At 45.7% G+C, this 14772-nt stretch overlaps 1 protein-coding gene across 7 annotated transcripts in view, besides 3 other annotated features; it reads left to right on the forward strand.

Moving 5' to 3' along the window:
* ZNF578 (zinc finger protein 578) overlaps positions 1-14772 on the forward strand; it is a 63330-nt gene that overhangs the window by 22273 nt on the left and 26285 nt on the right. The window contains exon 1 of one of the 7 annotated variants that reach the window (XM_047438191.1): positions 10618-10726. The exons of 4 other annotated variants lie outside the window; for them this stretch is intronic. The gene's annotated coding sequence lies outside the window, so the exon portion shown is untranslated. Of the gene's footprint in view, positions 1-10617; positions 10727-14151; positions 14511-14532; positions 14748-14772 lie in introns of those variants that run through there. 2 more of the 7 variants (XM_047438190.1, XM_047438192.1) reach the window with 2 other exon arrangements.
* Positions 7506-8292: an enhancer, noted in NCBI's record as "NANOG-H3K27ac hESC enhancer chr19:52986584-52987370 (GRCh37/hg19 assembly coordinates)". NCBI's record gives its function as "activates a minimal SCP1, AML or CMV promoter by ChIP-STARR-seq in primed H9 embryonic stem cells {active_cell/tissue: H9 hESC(primed)}" and the evidence as "EXISTENCE:reporter gene assay evidence [ECO:0000049][PMID:30033119]".
* Positions 8293-9078: an enhancer, noted in NCBI's record as "OCT4-NANOG-H3K27ac hESC enhancer chr19:52987371-52988156 (GRCh37/hg19 assembly coordinates)". NCBI's record gives its function as "activates a minimal SCP1, AML or CMV promoter by ChIP-STARR-seq in primed H9 embryonic stem cells {active_cell/tissue: H9 hESC(primed)}" and the evidence as "EXISTENCE:reporter gene assay evidence [ECO:0000049][PMID:30033119]".
* Positions 11643-12612: an enhancer, noted in NCBI's record as "H3K27ac-H3K4me1 hESC enhancer chr19:52990721-52991690 (GRCh37/hg19 assembly coordinates)". NCBI's record gives its function as "activates a minimal SCP1, AML or CMV promoter by ChIP-STARR-seq in naive H9 embryonic stem cells {active_cell/tissue: H9 hESC(naive)}" and the evidence as "EXISTENCE:reporter gene assay evidence [ECO:0000049][PMID:30033119]".

A 14772-nucleotide genomic window follows, 5' to 3' on the forward strand; every position in this document is an offset into this window, starting at 1 on the left:
TTTAGTTAAAGCCTGCTTTGTTCCTCGGAATAACTCATGTGAGATTTGATCTGTAGGAGCGACCAAAAGAATGTCATCCATATAATGAATGATGTAAGCAGTAGGAAACATATTCCAAGGCTCCTTTCATGCCCTTCCTACAAAATGCTGACATAGTGTAGGACTGTTAAGTATGCCTTGAGGTAAAACTTTCCATTGATAGCGAGAAACAGGTTCTCTTTGATTAATAGAAGGCACAGAGAAAGCAAATTGAGGCTTATCCTTCTTATGTAAGGGTATAGTAAAAAAAAAAAACAATCCTTAAGATCTATTACTACAAGAGGCCAGTATCTTGGAATGGCTGCTGGGGCTGGCAGACCTTGCTGTAATGCACCCATTGGTTTAATTTGTGCATTAACAGCTCTCAAATCATGCCACAGTCACCATCTTCCGGGCTTTTTTGAGATAACAAACACTGGTGAATTCCAGCTGACATCACTATATGTCCTGCATCCAATTGCTCTTTTACTAGCTGCTGAAGTTGAGTTTGTTTCTCCTGTGTTAGGGGCCATTGATCGACCCATACAGGTGTTTTGCTGAGCCATTCTAATGGTAAGGCAGTTGGCAGAGGAGAAATATCAATGACCCCCATCAGAAATCCTGATGTCCTAGCCCTTTTCTATCTGTTTTTCCAGTTTCTCATATCGGGTTAGGAGTTCCTTGTAGGAATTTCCCTAAACTTTTCCCACTCTGATATCCCATATTCTTCAACATTTTAAATCCTGGGTTATCAAATTTTCACTTGTAAGTCTGCTATCCCATGCCGTAAGTCTCAGCCCCATAAATTGATAGCTATATTTGCAACATAGAGCTGAAAAGTATATGACTGTCCACCCAGACCAAGACAAAGTAAAATCTCAGCACTCTGTCAAACACTTTGAACTGCTCCTACTCCCACTAGGGATGTGGAGGTTAGTCTGAGAGGCCATGGTAGGGGCCGGTCCTTACTGGTTATTACTGACACATCAGCTCCTGTGTCCATTAGCCCATAAAATTTCTTTTCTTTAATTTGTATTACACAGGTAGGTCTATTAGAGTTTATGGGTTGGGATAGATTTCCCATGTAGTTGTGCTCCCAAACCCTTTGTTCCCTCATTTCTCTTTTCATGGAGAAGGGTGTAATTTGCAGAGAATAAGCAACAATTGAGCAATATATTCTCCTGGTTCAAAAACCTGAAGATCTTGTGACATTAAAACTACTTGAATTTCTCCTTCATAATTGGAGTCAACTACTCCAGGGACTACAGTGATGCCTCACAAGTTAAGATGGCTCTTGCCCAAAATTAGTCCCATGTATCCTGCTGGTAAAGGTCTCTAAATGCCAGGGGGAGCTTTGGTAGGTTTGTCTCCTCCAACTAATATAATTCTTTCTCTGGCAGGGAGATCTTATCCTGGACTTCCTGGTGTTCCTGGGGTGAGGGAATCAATGTTTCTTCTGGGACCCACCCCTGAAGTGTGGTTGTGGTCTGAAATATGAATGCCCTTATTGTTTGAGGGGCCTGGGTCCAGGCCCCCTTCTCATTTCCTGATGGGGGTACGATTCTGATGAAATTTTGAGTGGCACTGATTAGCCCAGTGATTTTCTTTGTTACAGTGAGGACAGAGTCCTGGCATTTTTTCCTGGTAGTAGTGGGGAACCGCATTGTAAGGTCCTTTCTCTCTTGAGATCTCACTGCATTCCTTTTTAAAATGTCCAGTTATTTCCACAGTTATAACATTTTCCCATTTTAGGGTTTTTTTTTTTTTTCCATTTTAGGGTTTGACCATTGGCTCTTTTTAGACTTATCAACTGCCAAATTAGCCATTTCTTGTGCTAACATTGTGGAGCAATGCAGCTCAATTCCCACATCTTGACAAGCTCTGAGAAAATTTCCCAAGTTTTTGTACATTTCACAGGTGCCAGTGCATGTTTACAATCTGCATTTGCATTCTGAAAAGCTAGGGTTAAGGTTAACATTTCTGCAGCAGTGGTGTGAGGAATCTGACACTTGACTGCCTCTTGAGATCCTGCAAGAAATTGTGCATAAGGTTCCTGAGACCCTTGCACAATATTTAAAAAGGATTGTACTGGGACTCCCTCTTCTGTAATTGTGGCCCAGGCATGTTTAGTGGCCAGTGCACACTGCTGATAAGCAGCGTCTGGGAGTGCCATTTGATGTTCCAGGTCTGAATAAGGGCCATGACCTAACAGCATATCCTCTGTAGTGTCTCTGTGTCCAGCAGCACGGTTCTGTCTAGCTTGGTCTGCACACATTTCTTGCCAATTTAAATTCCATGTCAGGTATACACTAGCAGACAAACAAGTGCAAGCCAAATGCTTTACATCAAAGGGTAGAAGGTGCATAGCACCAAATACAGATTCTAGCAATCCTAAAGTGAATGGGCTCTGTATTCCATTATTAAGTACACTAGCTCTTAATTCCTTCAACAACTTAAACTCTAGTGGGGTGTGTTGATGAATAAGCTGCTGTGGGCTATTTGTATCGGGCCTTATGGAGATAGGAAAAGCACAGGGTCCTAAGAGCTCTCCAGCTATGGCAGCAGAGCATAAAATTCTCTCTATTGGGGTTTCTATTTCTGCTACCGAAGGAGGCGGTACAGATGTTTCTGCAATTGGAGGGGGCGGTACAGGCCAATTTTTATACTCCCTCTCCTGTTTTTTATTTTCAACTGGTGCTGTGGGTGGGACAACAGATTCTTTCAGATTTTTAGACTCAGAACATGACTCCTTCTGTCCAGCAGAATAAGAAGGAGATAATGGCAGAAGGACAGTATGAACAAAACTCCAAGTGGAGAAAACAGATGATCAACTTTAAGGCCTGCTTGATGAGCCCATTTTATTTTATTTTATTTTTTATTTATTTTTTGAGACGGAGTCTTGCTCTGTCTCCCAGGCTGGAGTGCAGTGGCATGATCTCAGCTCACTGCAACCTCTGCCTCCCGGGTTCAAGCAATTCTCCTGCTTCAGCCTCCCATGTAGCTGGGACTACAGGTGCCGGCCACCAGTCAAGGCTAATTTTTGTATTTTTAGTAGAGACAGGGCTTCACCATATTTTTCAGGCTGGTCTCGAACTCCCGACCTCAGGTGATCTGCCCGCCTCAGCCTCCCAAAGTGCTGGGATTACAGGCATGAGCCACCGCGCCCGGCTATTGATGAGCCCATTTTAATCCTTCTCCTGCTCTGTCCCAATTTTTCAAATCAAGAGTGCCTGTCTGTGGAAACCATGGGTTATGCATGGTAATCTCATGCAGAAGCTTAGTTAATGTCTGACAACTAACCTGAGCCACAGATTGTTTAAGTAAAACTTCAAGCAACTTCACATAAAGTTTTTCTTCAATAAACAAATTGTGCCCCATGTTAACCTGATTCAGAAATTTCTCTTTCCCAAGGCCGGGCGCAGTGGCTCACGCCTGTAATCCCAGCACTTTGGGAGGCCGAGGCGGGCAGATCATGAGGTCAGGAGATCAAGACCATCCTGGCTAATGCGGTGAAACCCCATCTCTACTAAAAATAGCAAAAATTAGACGGGTGTGGTGGCGGGCGCCCGAAGTCCCACCTACTTGGGAGGCTGAGGCAGGAGAATGGTGAGAACCTGAGAGTCAGAGCTTGCAGTGAGCGGAGATTGTGCCATTGCACTCCAGCCTGGGAGACTGGGAGACAGAGCGAGACTCCATCTCAAAAAAAAAAAAAAAAAAAAGGAAAAAAGAAACTTCTCGTTCCCAGTACTTTTTTGAAGCACTGACCATAGAGATTCCATTATGGTTTTGACATTTTGGGAAACCAGTTTTACCATTGTGTCAGTAAAACAGTAAGATAGTTTGAGAGCATATGATCTAAATAAAGATATTTGAAGGGTTAGTTGGAATTCTAAAAGTAGGTAATGGCCAAATAGCATTCTCATTCCTTACCAGACAAAAACTTCTTTGTCAAAGGAATTAGAAAATGTGAAAATATTTTTTCCAGATAAAGCTCATATGCCACTTCCAATTGACTAATGAAATATAATAGACAGACTGAAAAAGTGGATTATGATTTTTTTATCTGTATTCATTTATTTATTTATTGACGCAGTCTCGCTCTGTCTCCCAGGCTGGATTGCAGTGGCACAATCTTGGCTCACTGCAAGCTCCGCCTCCCGGGTTCATGCCATTCTCCTGCCTCAGCCTCCCGAGTAGCTGGGACTACAGGTGCCTGCCACCATGCCCGGCAAATTTTTTGTATTTTTAGTAGAGACGGGGTTTCACCGTGTTAGCCAGGATGGTCTTGATCTGACCTCGTGATCCACCTGCTTCGGCCTACCAAAGTGCTGGGATTACAGGCGTGAGCCACCGTGCCCAGTCGATTATGAATCTTAAAATGCTTCCTGTAAATATTATGTAGCTAAAGATTGATTTCCAGCATCTGACATAATGGTAGGTTTCTTGTTAACCAGTTTCTCTTCTTTCTGGGTAATTGCAAGTGAATATGTGCACATACTGACCGAAATAAAATCAGGGCCTGAACTTAGTTGTTTACTGAAAATTCCTGGGCAAATAGTCCATAAAAGCTGTTTATCTCTGAATGCACTATGGCTGGTTAAATACAGAGAACATCCTTCTTCCAGCTGTAAAGGATGAAGCATATTAAACATTACCCAGGCAGATGAAGCTAAATAACCATACAGCAGCTCTGTCTGACAATGTTGTGCTGGATATTGCAGTTTACTTTTCAAGGTGCAGATGTAAGGATTTAAAAAAAAAAAAAAATTTTTGGCCGGGCACAGTGGCTCATGCCTATAATCCCAGCACTTTAAGAGGCCGAGGCAGGTGGATCACAAGGTCAGGAGTTCAAGACGAGCGTGGCCAAGATGGTGAAACCCCGTCTCTACCAAAAATAACAAAAATTAGCCGGGCATGGTGGCACTTGCCTATAATCCCAGCTACTCGGGTGGCTGAGGCAGAGAGTTGCTTGAACCTGGGAGGCAGAGGTTGCAATGAGCCGTGATCACGCCACCGCACCCCAGTCTGGGTGACAGAGTGAGACTCCATCTCAAAAGATAATAATAATAATAATAATAATAATAATAATAATAATAATAATAATTTGGCACCAAATAAATATGAGTAGCATCCTTTGGCCTATGAAATAGAGTCAGGATTTGCAGGGAATTGAGTTTGAGAAATGAATGAATAAAGGCACCGTGGTGCCTGACCCCCTCATTCATGTGTGTGACTCTGAGCACTCACAGGCATGTCCAGCAACTCAGCCCAGGGCAGGTGGGTTAGCCTGGGGTTATACCTTGAACCTTATATTACTCTCAGTACCTCTTTAGGGCACTGACCTTATATCGGCTGCGGCAGACTCCTCCTGGTGTCCCCATTCATCTGATCAATTTCACTTCTTCTGCTCCAGCAGACCTTCTTCCTTCATGTCCTCCTATCCCTGTGTATGGGTGCCATGTTGCCGTGGACCCTGTTGGACTGAACAAAGGAGAAGGAACGCGGGAATTAAAGACAAAAGAATATGTTTGGAAGAAGTGGTCAGGGGACTCCTTGCTTCTGGTGAACAAGGGCCCTGAGCATCTAGCACCTTTCACATTGGATAAGATTAGTTGTGACATGTTGACTTCTGTGTATATAATATAATAATTAAAACTTGTTTCAAATTATACATATGAGATTGAGAATTTTAAACTTCCTATTTATAAGACATGTACAATCTATAAATCTTGGCATCAGAGGTTAGCTTCCACTTGTAATCCCTATTCAGCCCAAGGACAGTGACTTATGCAGTTGTGTGTCACTCTCTTCCCTTTTCCCAGAGTCGGGTAGGAAATGGGGAAGTGAAGTGGGAGAAAAAAATCACTTTCTGTTATTACATAATACTTTAAATTAAATTAATTCTTTAAGACAGGCCTGCTCTATCTCCCAGGCTGGAGTGCAGTGGTGTAACTTCCTCTAACTGCAGCCTTGACCTGCTAGGCTCAAGCAATCCTCCTACTTCAGCCTCCCGAGTAGCTGGGACCACAGGTGTGAACCACCAAGACCAGCTAGGTTTTGTATTCTTTTTGTAGAAATGGGGTTTCACTATGTTTCCCAGGCTGGTCTCAAAATCCTGGGCTCAAAGGATCCTCCTGCCTTGGCCTCCAAAATTACTGGTATTACAGGGATGAGCCACCACATCTGGCCTACATAGAACTTTTTTTTGAGAGAGAGTTTTGCTCTTGTTGTCCAGGCTGGAGTGCAATGGTATGATCTCAGCTCGCCACAACCTCTGTTTCCCAGCTTCAAGCAATTCCACTGCCTCAGCCTCCGGAGTAGCTGGGATTACAGGCATGCACCACAACGCCCGGCTAATTTTGTGTCTTTAGTAGAGACGGGGTTTCTTCATGTTGGTCTAGACTGGTCTCTAATTCCCGACCTCAGGTGATCTCCCCACCTGGGCCTCCCAAAGTGCTGGGATTACAGGCGTAAGCCACCACGCCCAGCCCATAGTAGATTTTAAAATGGACATCAGGACGCGGTGGCTCACGCCAGTAATCCTAGCACTTTGGGAGGCCGAGGTACGTGGATCACGAGGTCAGGGGTTCGAGACCAGCGTGGCCAACACAGTGAAACCCCATCTCTACTAAAAAAATACAAAACTTAGCCGGGCGTGGTGGCAGACGCCTGTAATCCCACCTACTCGGGAGGCTGAGGCAGGACAGTTGCTTGAACCTGGGAGGCACAGGTTGCAGTGAGCCAAGGTTGCGCCACTGCACACCAGCCTGGGCAACAGAGCTAGACTGCATTGAAAAAAAAATTTTAAAAAAGGAACATCAAAGCCGGGCGTAGTGGCTCATGCCTGTAATCCCAGCACTTAGGGAGCAAATCACTGAAGGTCAGGAGTTCAAGACCAGCCTGGCCTATATGGTAAAACCCTGTCTCTACCAAAAGTACAAAAATTAGCGGGGTGTGGTGGTACATGCCTCTAATTTCAGCTACTTCGGAGGCTGAGGCAGGAGAATTACTTGGACCTGGCTGGGAGGCAGAGGTTGCAGTGAGCCATGATGGCACTACCACACTGCAGCCTGGGTGACAGAGTGAGACTCTGTCTCCCAAAAAAAAAAAAAAAAAAATAGCCAAGGATGGTGGCATGCATCTGTAGTCCCATCTACTTGGGAGGCTGAGGCAGGAGAATCATGCCACTACATTCCAGCCTGAGTGATAGAGTGTGACTTGGTCTCAAAAAACAGAAAAAGAAATAGCAATCAGCTCTTTAATGTCTCCCTTTATATGAGCAGTAGTCCTGGCCGTGCGCGGTGGCTCACACTTGTAATCCCAGCACTTTGGAAGGCTGATGCAGGCAAATCACCTGAAGTTGGTGGTTCGAGACCAGCCTGACCAACATGGAGAAACCCTGTCTCTACTAAAACTACAAAATTAGCTGGGTGTGGTGGCGCATGCCTGTAATCCCAGCAACTCAGGAGGCTGAGGCAGGAGAATTGCTTGAACCCGGGAAGCAAAGGTTGTGGTGAGCCAAGATCACGCCATTGCACTCCAGCCTCGGCAACAAGAGGGAAACTCCGTCTCAAAAAATACGTAAATAAATAATAAAAATAAAAGCACGAGTCCTATTCACGTGTAGTCAACACGCATGACCAAATTCTCTCACAGGCACCATCTGCAGGAACATCCTATTGGACAATAAGAACTCTGAACATCCCTTTTGGCCAATATAAACATTCAGACCAGGGAGCCTGCATCAGGTTTTTGATGTTTTTATTGTGCAGTTTGTTTTATACAATGTTTTCTGTGATCTCAGTTTATAAATTTTCCCAGTACACATTCTATGTTTTATATTTTACGCACAGTTAACTAGGTAACTAAGGGCAATGCATATATATAAAATTGCTCTATTGCCTGGTGTTATGTAACTGTACTTGTGACATCATAATTGCACCCTCCGACACTGTTAGTCAGTTCTTATTGCTTTTAATGCTGTGTATTCACTTGAACTCATATGAAGGGGGTGGCCTGCCCCTCCACACTTGTGGGCGTTTCTCATCAGGTGGAACGAGAGACTTGAGAAAATAAAGAGACACAGAGACAAAGTATAGAGAAAGAAAAGCGGGCCCAGGGAACCGACGCTCAGCATACGGAGGACCCACGCTGGCTCCAGTCTCTGAGTCCCCTTAGTATTTATTAATCATTATTGGGCGTTTCTCAGAGAGGGGAATGTGGCAGGACAATAGGGTAATAGTAGAGAGGTCAGCAGGAAAACTTGTGAACAAATGTCTCTGCATCATAAACAAGGTAAAGGAAAAAGTGCTGTGCTTTTGATGTGCATATACATAAACACCTCAATGCCTTAAAGAGCAGTATTGCTGCCAGCATGTCTCACCTCCAGCCCTAAGGCGGTTTTCCCCTATCTCAGTAGATGGTATATACAATTGGGCTTTACACCCAGACATTCCTTTGCCAGGGACGAGTGGGAGACAGATGCCTTCCTCTTATCTCAACTGCAAAGAGGCCTTCCTTCCTCTTTCACTAATCCTCCTCAGCACAGACCCTTTACGGGTGTCGGGCTAGGGGATGGTCAGGTCTTTCCCTTCCCACGAGGCCATATTTCAGAATATCACATGGGGGAGAAACTTTGGACAATACCTGGCTTTCCTAGGCAGAGGTCCCTGCAGACTTCCACAGTGTATTGTGTCTCTGGGTGTCAGGCCTCTGAGCCCAAGCTAAGCCATCGTATACCCTGTGACCTGCACATACACATCCAGATGGCCGGTTCCTGCCTTAACTGATGACATTCCACCACAAAAGAAGTGAAAATGGCCTGTTCCTGCCTTAACTGATGACATTGTCTTGTGAAATTCCTTCTCCTGGCTCATCCTGGCTCAAAAGCTCCCCCACTGAGTACCTTGTGACCCCCACTCTGCCCGCCAGAGAACAACCCCCCTTTGACTGTAATTTTCCTTTACCTACCCAAATCCTATAAAACGGCCCCACCCCTATCTCCCTTCACTGACTCTCTTTTTGGACTCAGCCCGCCTGCACCCAGGTGAAATAAACAGCCATGTTGCTCCAACAAAGCCTGTTTGGTGGTCTCTTCACAAAATTTCATGCGCATCCATGTGAAGAGACCACCAAACAGACTTTGTGTGAGCAACATGGCTGTTTATTTCACCTGGGTGCAGGCGGGCTGAGTCCAAAAAGAGAGTCGGACTTTGAATGGAAGGCGAGTCTGGTTTCCTAAGCAGTTCCTAGCTTGACTTTTCCCTTTTGTGTAGTGATCTGGTGGCCCCAAATTTATTTTCCTTTCACACAGCCCAACCCTCACACCACCTCTGGTCTATCTTGCTTGTTCTGTGTGATTACTTTTGTGCTTTTGTCATCCACTCTGGATCCTAGTAAGAACAAGGCCCCAAGGGGAGGGCGGAGCCAGAACGTGGGGCTGTGCTGGGCTCGCCCCCTCTGAGTGGAGCTCAACCCTGGCTTCACATTAGAGTGCAGAGCATTTTGCAAATAGAGCTTTTGTGCCGCTTTAGCAGGGATTCTTATTCTGATGGGATGGAACCCACCCTCAGTAATACCTGCAGTGGCGCAGGTGCTTGTCATCTGTGCGCAGCATTGAGCATCGAAGCTCTGTGTCCTCCATTTCTGAGGGCTGAGCTCAGCCTGTGATCCACAGAGAGTTGAGGGGCTGTCCTGTAGGGAAAGGAAAGAGAGATCAGACTGTTACTGTGTCTACGTAGAAAGAAGTAGACATAAGAGACTTCCTTTTGTTCTGTACTAAGAAAAATTCTTCTGCCTTGAGATGCTGTTAATCTGTAACCATACCCCCAACCCTGTGCTCCCAGAAATGTGCTGTGTTGACTCAAGGTTTAATGGATTTAGGGCTATGCAGGTTGTGCTTTGTTAAGCAAATGCTTGAAGGCAGTATGCTTGTTAAAAGTCATCACCACTCCCTATTCTCAAGTACCCGGGGACACAAAACACTGTGGAAGGCTGCAAGGACCTCTGCCTAGGAAAGCCAGGTATTGTCCAAGGTTTCTCCCCATGTGACAGTCTGAAATATGGCCTCGTGGGAAGGGAAAGACCCGACCATCCCCCAGCCCGACACCCATAAATGGTCTGTGCTGTGGAGGATTAGTGAAAGAGGAAGGCCTCTTTGCAGTTGAGATAAGAGGAAGGCATCTGTCTCCTGCTCATCCCTGGGCAATGGAATGTCTCCATGTAAAACCCGATTGTATGTTCTATTCACTGAGATAGGAGAAAACGGCCTTAGGGCTGGAGGTGAGACATGCGGGCAGCAATACTGCTCTTTAAGGCATTGAGGTGTTTATGTATATGCACATCAAAGGCACAGCACTTTTTTCTTTACCTTGTTTATGATGCAGAGACATTTGTTCACAAGTTTTCCTGCTGACCCTTCCCCACTATTACCCTATTGTTCTGCCACATCCCCCTCTCTGAGATGGTAGAGATAGTGATCAATAAATACTGAGGGAACTCAGAGACCAGTGCCGTCGTGGGTCCTCCGTATGCTGAGCGCCGGTCCCCTGGGCCCACTGTTCTTTCTCTATACTTTGTCTCTTTCTTTTGTCAAGAGATGGCAAAAGTGAAAAACAAAACACAGAAAAAAGTAAGAAAGCAGGAGGACAAAAGGAACTGGAGAAATGTAGAGAAAAGCTAGATATACAGAGACATGAAGGACGGCAAGGTAGGGAGAGTGGCAGCGAAGAGGGAGGCTCATCAGAGTGAGGGAGAGAGGGAAGGATTTGGAGCCAGGGCAGACAGAGCAGAGTGGTGCTTGTGTCAAGGAGAACAGAGGGAGAAACACAGCAGGGAGGACACCTGGGGATCTGGGGTGCCACAGGGTCGGGACACGGGAGTGTATCAGGGAAGAGAGAATTTAACAGGGAGAACAGAGGAGGCACAGAGATGGGAGAAGAGGCAGAAATAGACAGAGATTGAGGATGATTGAAATATTGGGGAGAAGGAGCAATAAGAGGTTAAATAAGTTGTGAGGATGGAGCAGAAGAGGTGGAAGAGAAGGAATAGAGAGGGAAGAAAGGGATAAACGGCAGAAGAGGAGAGGGGCACAAAATGAAGAGCAGAATCCCAGGAAGAAAGAAAAGAAAACAAGAGCTAGAGAGAGAAGGGGAGAATGAGAGAGATATACAGAATTAGGGAGGGAAGTGCAGTAATGAAGACAGAGGGGCTGGGTGCAGTGGCTCAAGTCTGTAATCTCCACACTTCAGGAGAATGAGGCAAGTGGATTGCTTGAGTCCAGGATTTCGAGACCAGCCTGGGCAACATAGTGAGAACACCATCTCTGCCAAAAAAAAAATAATAATAATAAGTAAATAAACCTGTACTCCCAGCTGCTCTGGTGGCCAAGCTGGGAGGATGACTTGAGCCCAGGAGGTCCAGGCTGCACTGAGCTGAGATCATGCCACTATACTGCAGCCTGGTCAACAGGGCGAGAGACTTTGGGTTTAGATGAGTGGGTGAGTTCATTGGATATGATTAGTTGTGACATGTTGACTTCCATGTATATAATCTAATAACTAAAAACTTGTTTATACACATCAGATTGAGAATTTTAAAATTGGTGTCTATAAGACGTACATTCTATAAATCTTGGCATCAGAGGTTATGTTCCACTTGGATTCCCTATTCAGCCAGAGGGAAGTGACTTATTCAGTTGTGAATCACTGTCTTCCCTTTTCCTAGGATGAGGAGGGCAAGGGGTAGTGAAGTGGGAAAAAAGTCACCGTCTGTTATTACATAATACTTTTAATTAAATAATATTTTGAGACAGGGTACGGCTCTATCACCCAGGCTGGAGTGCAGTGCGTGATCTCCTCTAACTGCAGCCTTGACCTCTTGGGCTCAAGCGATCCTCCTACCTCAGCCTTCTGAGTAGCTGGGACCACAGCCATGAGCCACCAAGCCCGGCTAGTTTTCGTATTTTTTTCTTTTTGTAGAAACTTGGTTTCACTATGTTTCCCAGGCTGGTCTCAAAATCCTGGGCTGAAAGGATCCTCCTGCCTTGGCCTCCCAAATTACTGGGATTACAGATTACAGGGATGGCCCGTGGCATCTGGCCTACATAGCCCCCCCCCCTTTTTTTTTTTGAGAGGGAGTTTTACTCTTGTTGCCCAGGCTGGAGTGCGATGGCATGATGTCAGCTCACCACAAACTCCGCTTGTCGGCTTCAAGCAATTCTACTGCCTCAGCCTCAGTAGCTGGGATTACAGGCTTGCACCACCCCACCCAGCTAATTTTGTGTTTTTAGTAGAGACGAGGTTTCATCATGTTGGTCCAGGCTGGTCTCTAACTCCCATCCTCAAGTGATCCGCTGCCTGGGCCTCCCAAAGTGCTGGGATTACAGGCATGAGCCACCATGCCCAGCCCATAGTAGTTTTTAAAAGGGACATTAGGCTGCGGTGGCTCACACCTGTAATCCCAGCACTTTGGGAGACAGAGGTGGGTGGATCACGAGGTCAGGAGTTCGAGACAAGCCTGGCCAACACAGTGAAACTCAATCTCTACTAAAAAAATACCAAAATTTCCATCCTGGCTAACACGGTGAAACCCAGTCTCTACTAAAAAATACAAAAAATTAGCCGGGCGTGGTGGCGGGCTCCTGTAGTCCCAGCTACTCAGGAGGCTGAGGCAGGAGAATGGCGTGAACCCGGTAGGCGGAGCTTGCAGTGAGCCGAGATTGCGCCACTGCACTCCAGCCTGGGCGACAGAGCAAGACTCCATCTCAAAACAAACAAACAAAAATACCAAAATTAGCCAGGCGTGGTGGCAGACTCCTGTAATCCCAGCTACTCGGGAGGCTGAGGCAGGAAAATTGCTTGAACCCAGGAGGCAGAGGTTGCAGTGAGCCGAGATTGCGTCACTGCACACCAGCCTGGGTAACAGATTTAGACGCCGTCTGAAAAAAAAAAAAATGAAGAAAAAGTAAGGAATATCAAAGCTGGGCATGGTGGCTCATGCCTGTAATCCCAGCACTTTGGGAGCAAATCACTGAAGGTCATGAGTTGGAGACTACCTGCCTGGCCTACATGGTGAAACCCCGTCTCTACCAAAAATACAAAAATTAGCTGGCCATGTTTACACACGCCTCTAATTTCAGCTACTCCAGAGGCTGAGGCAGGAGAATTACTTGGACCCGGCTGGAAGGCAGAGGTTGCAGTGAGCCACGATCGCACCACTGCCCTCCAGCCTGGGTGACAGAGTGAGACTCCGTCTGCCCCCCCTAAAAAAAGAAAAAGTAGCCGAGGGTGGTGGCATGCGTCTGTAGTCCCATCTACTCCGGAGGCTGAGGCAGGAGAATCTCTTTAGGCAGGAGAATCATGCCACAATAGTGCAGCCTGAGTGACAGAGCATGACTTGGTCTCAAAAAACAAAAAAAGAAATAGCAATCAACTCTTTGTCTCCCTTTATAAAAGCAGTAGTCCTGGCCATGTGCTGTGGCTCACACTTGTAACGCCAGCACTTTGGAAGGCTGATGCGGGCGAATCACCTGACGTCGGGGGTTGGAGATCAGCCTGACCAATATAGAGAAACCTCGTCTCTATAAAACTACAAAATTAGCTGGGTGTGGTGGCGCATGCCTGTAATCCCAGCTACTCTGGAGGCTGAGGCAGGCTAATTGCTTGAACCTGGGAGGCAAAGGTTGCGGTGAGCCAAGGTCACGCCATTGCACTCCAGCCTGGGCAACAAGAGGGATACTCCGTCTCAAAAATTAAATAAATAAATAAATAATAAAAATAAAAGCACTGCTCCTATTCACGTATAGTCAACACCCATGGAGAAATTCTTCTTTTTTTTTTTTCTCACTGTGTTGCCCAGCCTGAAGTGTAGTGGTGCGATCTTGGCTCACTGCAAGCTCTGCCTCCCGGGTTCACGCCATTCTCCTGCCTCAGCCTCCCGAGTAGCTGGGACTACAGGCGCCCGCCACCAATCCCGGCTAATTTTTTTGTACTTTTAGTAGAGATGGGGTTTCACCTTGGTAGCCAGGATGATCTCTATCTCCTGACCTCGTGATCTGCCCGCCTCGGCCTCCCAAAGTGCTGGGATTACAGGCGTGAGCCACCACGCCCAGCCACCCATGACCAAATTCTCTCACAGACACCATCTGCAGAAACATCCTATTGGACAATAAGAACTCTGAACATCCCTTTTGGCCAATATAAACATTCAGACCAGGGAGCCTGCATCAGGTTTTTGATGTTTTTATTGTGCAATTTGTTTTATACAATGTTTTCTGTGATCTCAGTTTATAAATTTTCCCAGTACACATTCTATGTCTTATATTTTACGCACAGTTCACTAGATAACTAAGGGCAATACATATATATAAAATTGCTCTATTGCCTGGTGTTATGTAACTGTACCTGTGACATCACAATTGCACCCTCTGACACTGTTAGTCAGTTCTTATTCCTTTTAATACTGTGTATTTACTTGAACGCATACATCAGAAGGTACTGATCTTAACATGTATTTCAGTTCTTACAGTGTGTGCTGATTTTAAGTAGAAGTTGTGGCTTTTTTCTTGAGAGAGAATTGTTTAGAATTCTGCAGGCTGTATAAATGTACTTATTTGCTTGCTGGTTTTATCATGGGTTAGAATAGTTTACTGATTAATATTTAAGATTTCACATATGGCTTTTCAGTATATGATATGTAATGGAACTGACACACTGCACTAGTTAAATTCAGTAAGTCCCTGTTCTGCATGGATAT

This window comes from Homo sapiens, chromosome 19 (assembly GCF_000001405.40).
Source record: "Homo sapiens chromosome 19, GRCh38.p14 Primary Assembly".
NCBI lineage: Eukaryota > Metazoa > Chordata > Mammalia > Primates > Hominidae > Homo > Homo sapiens.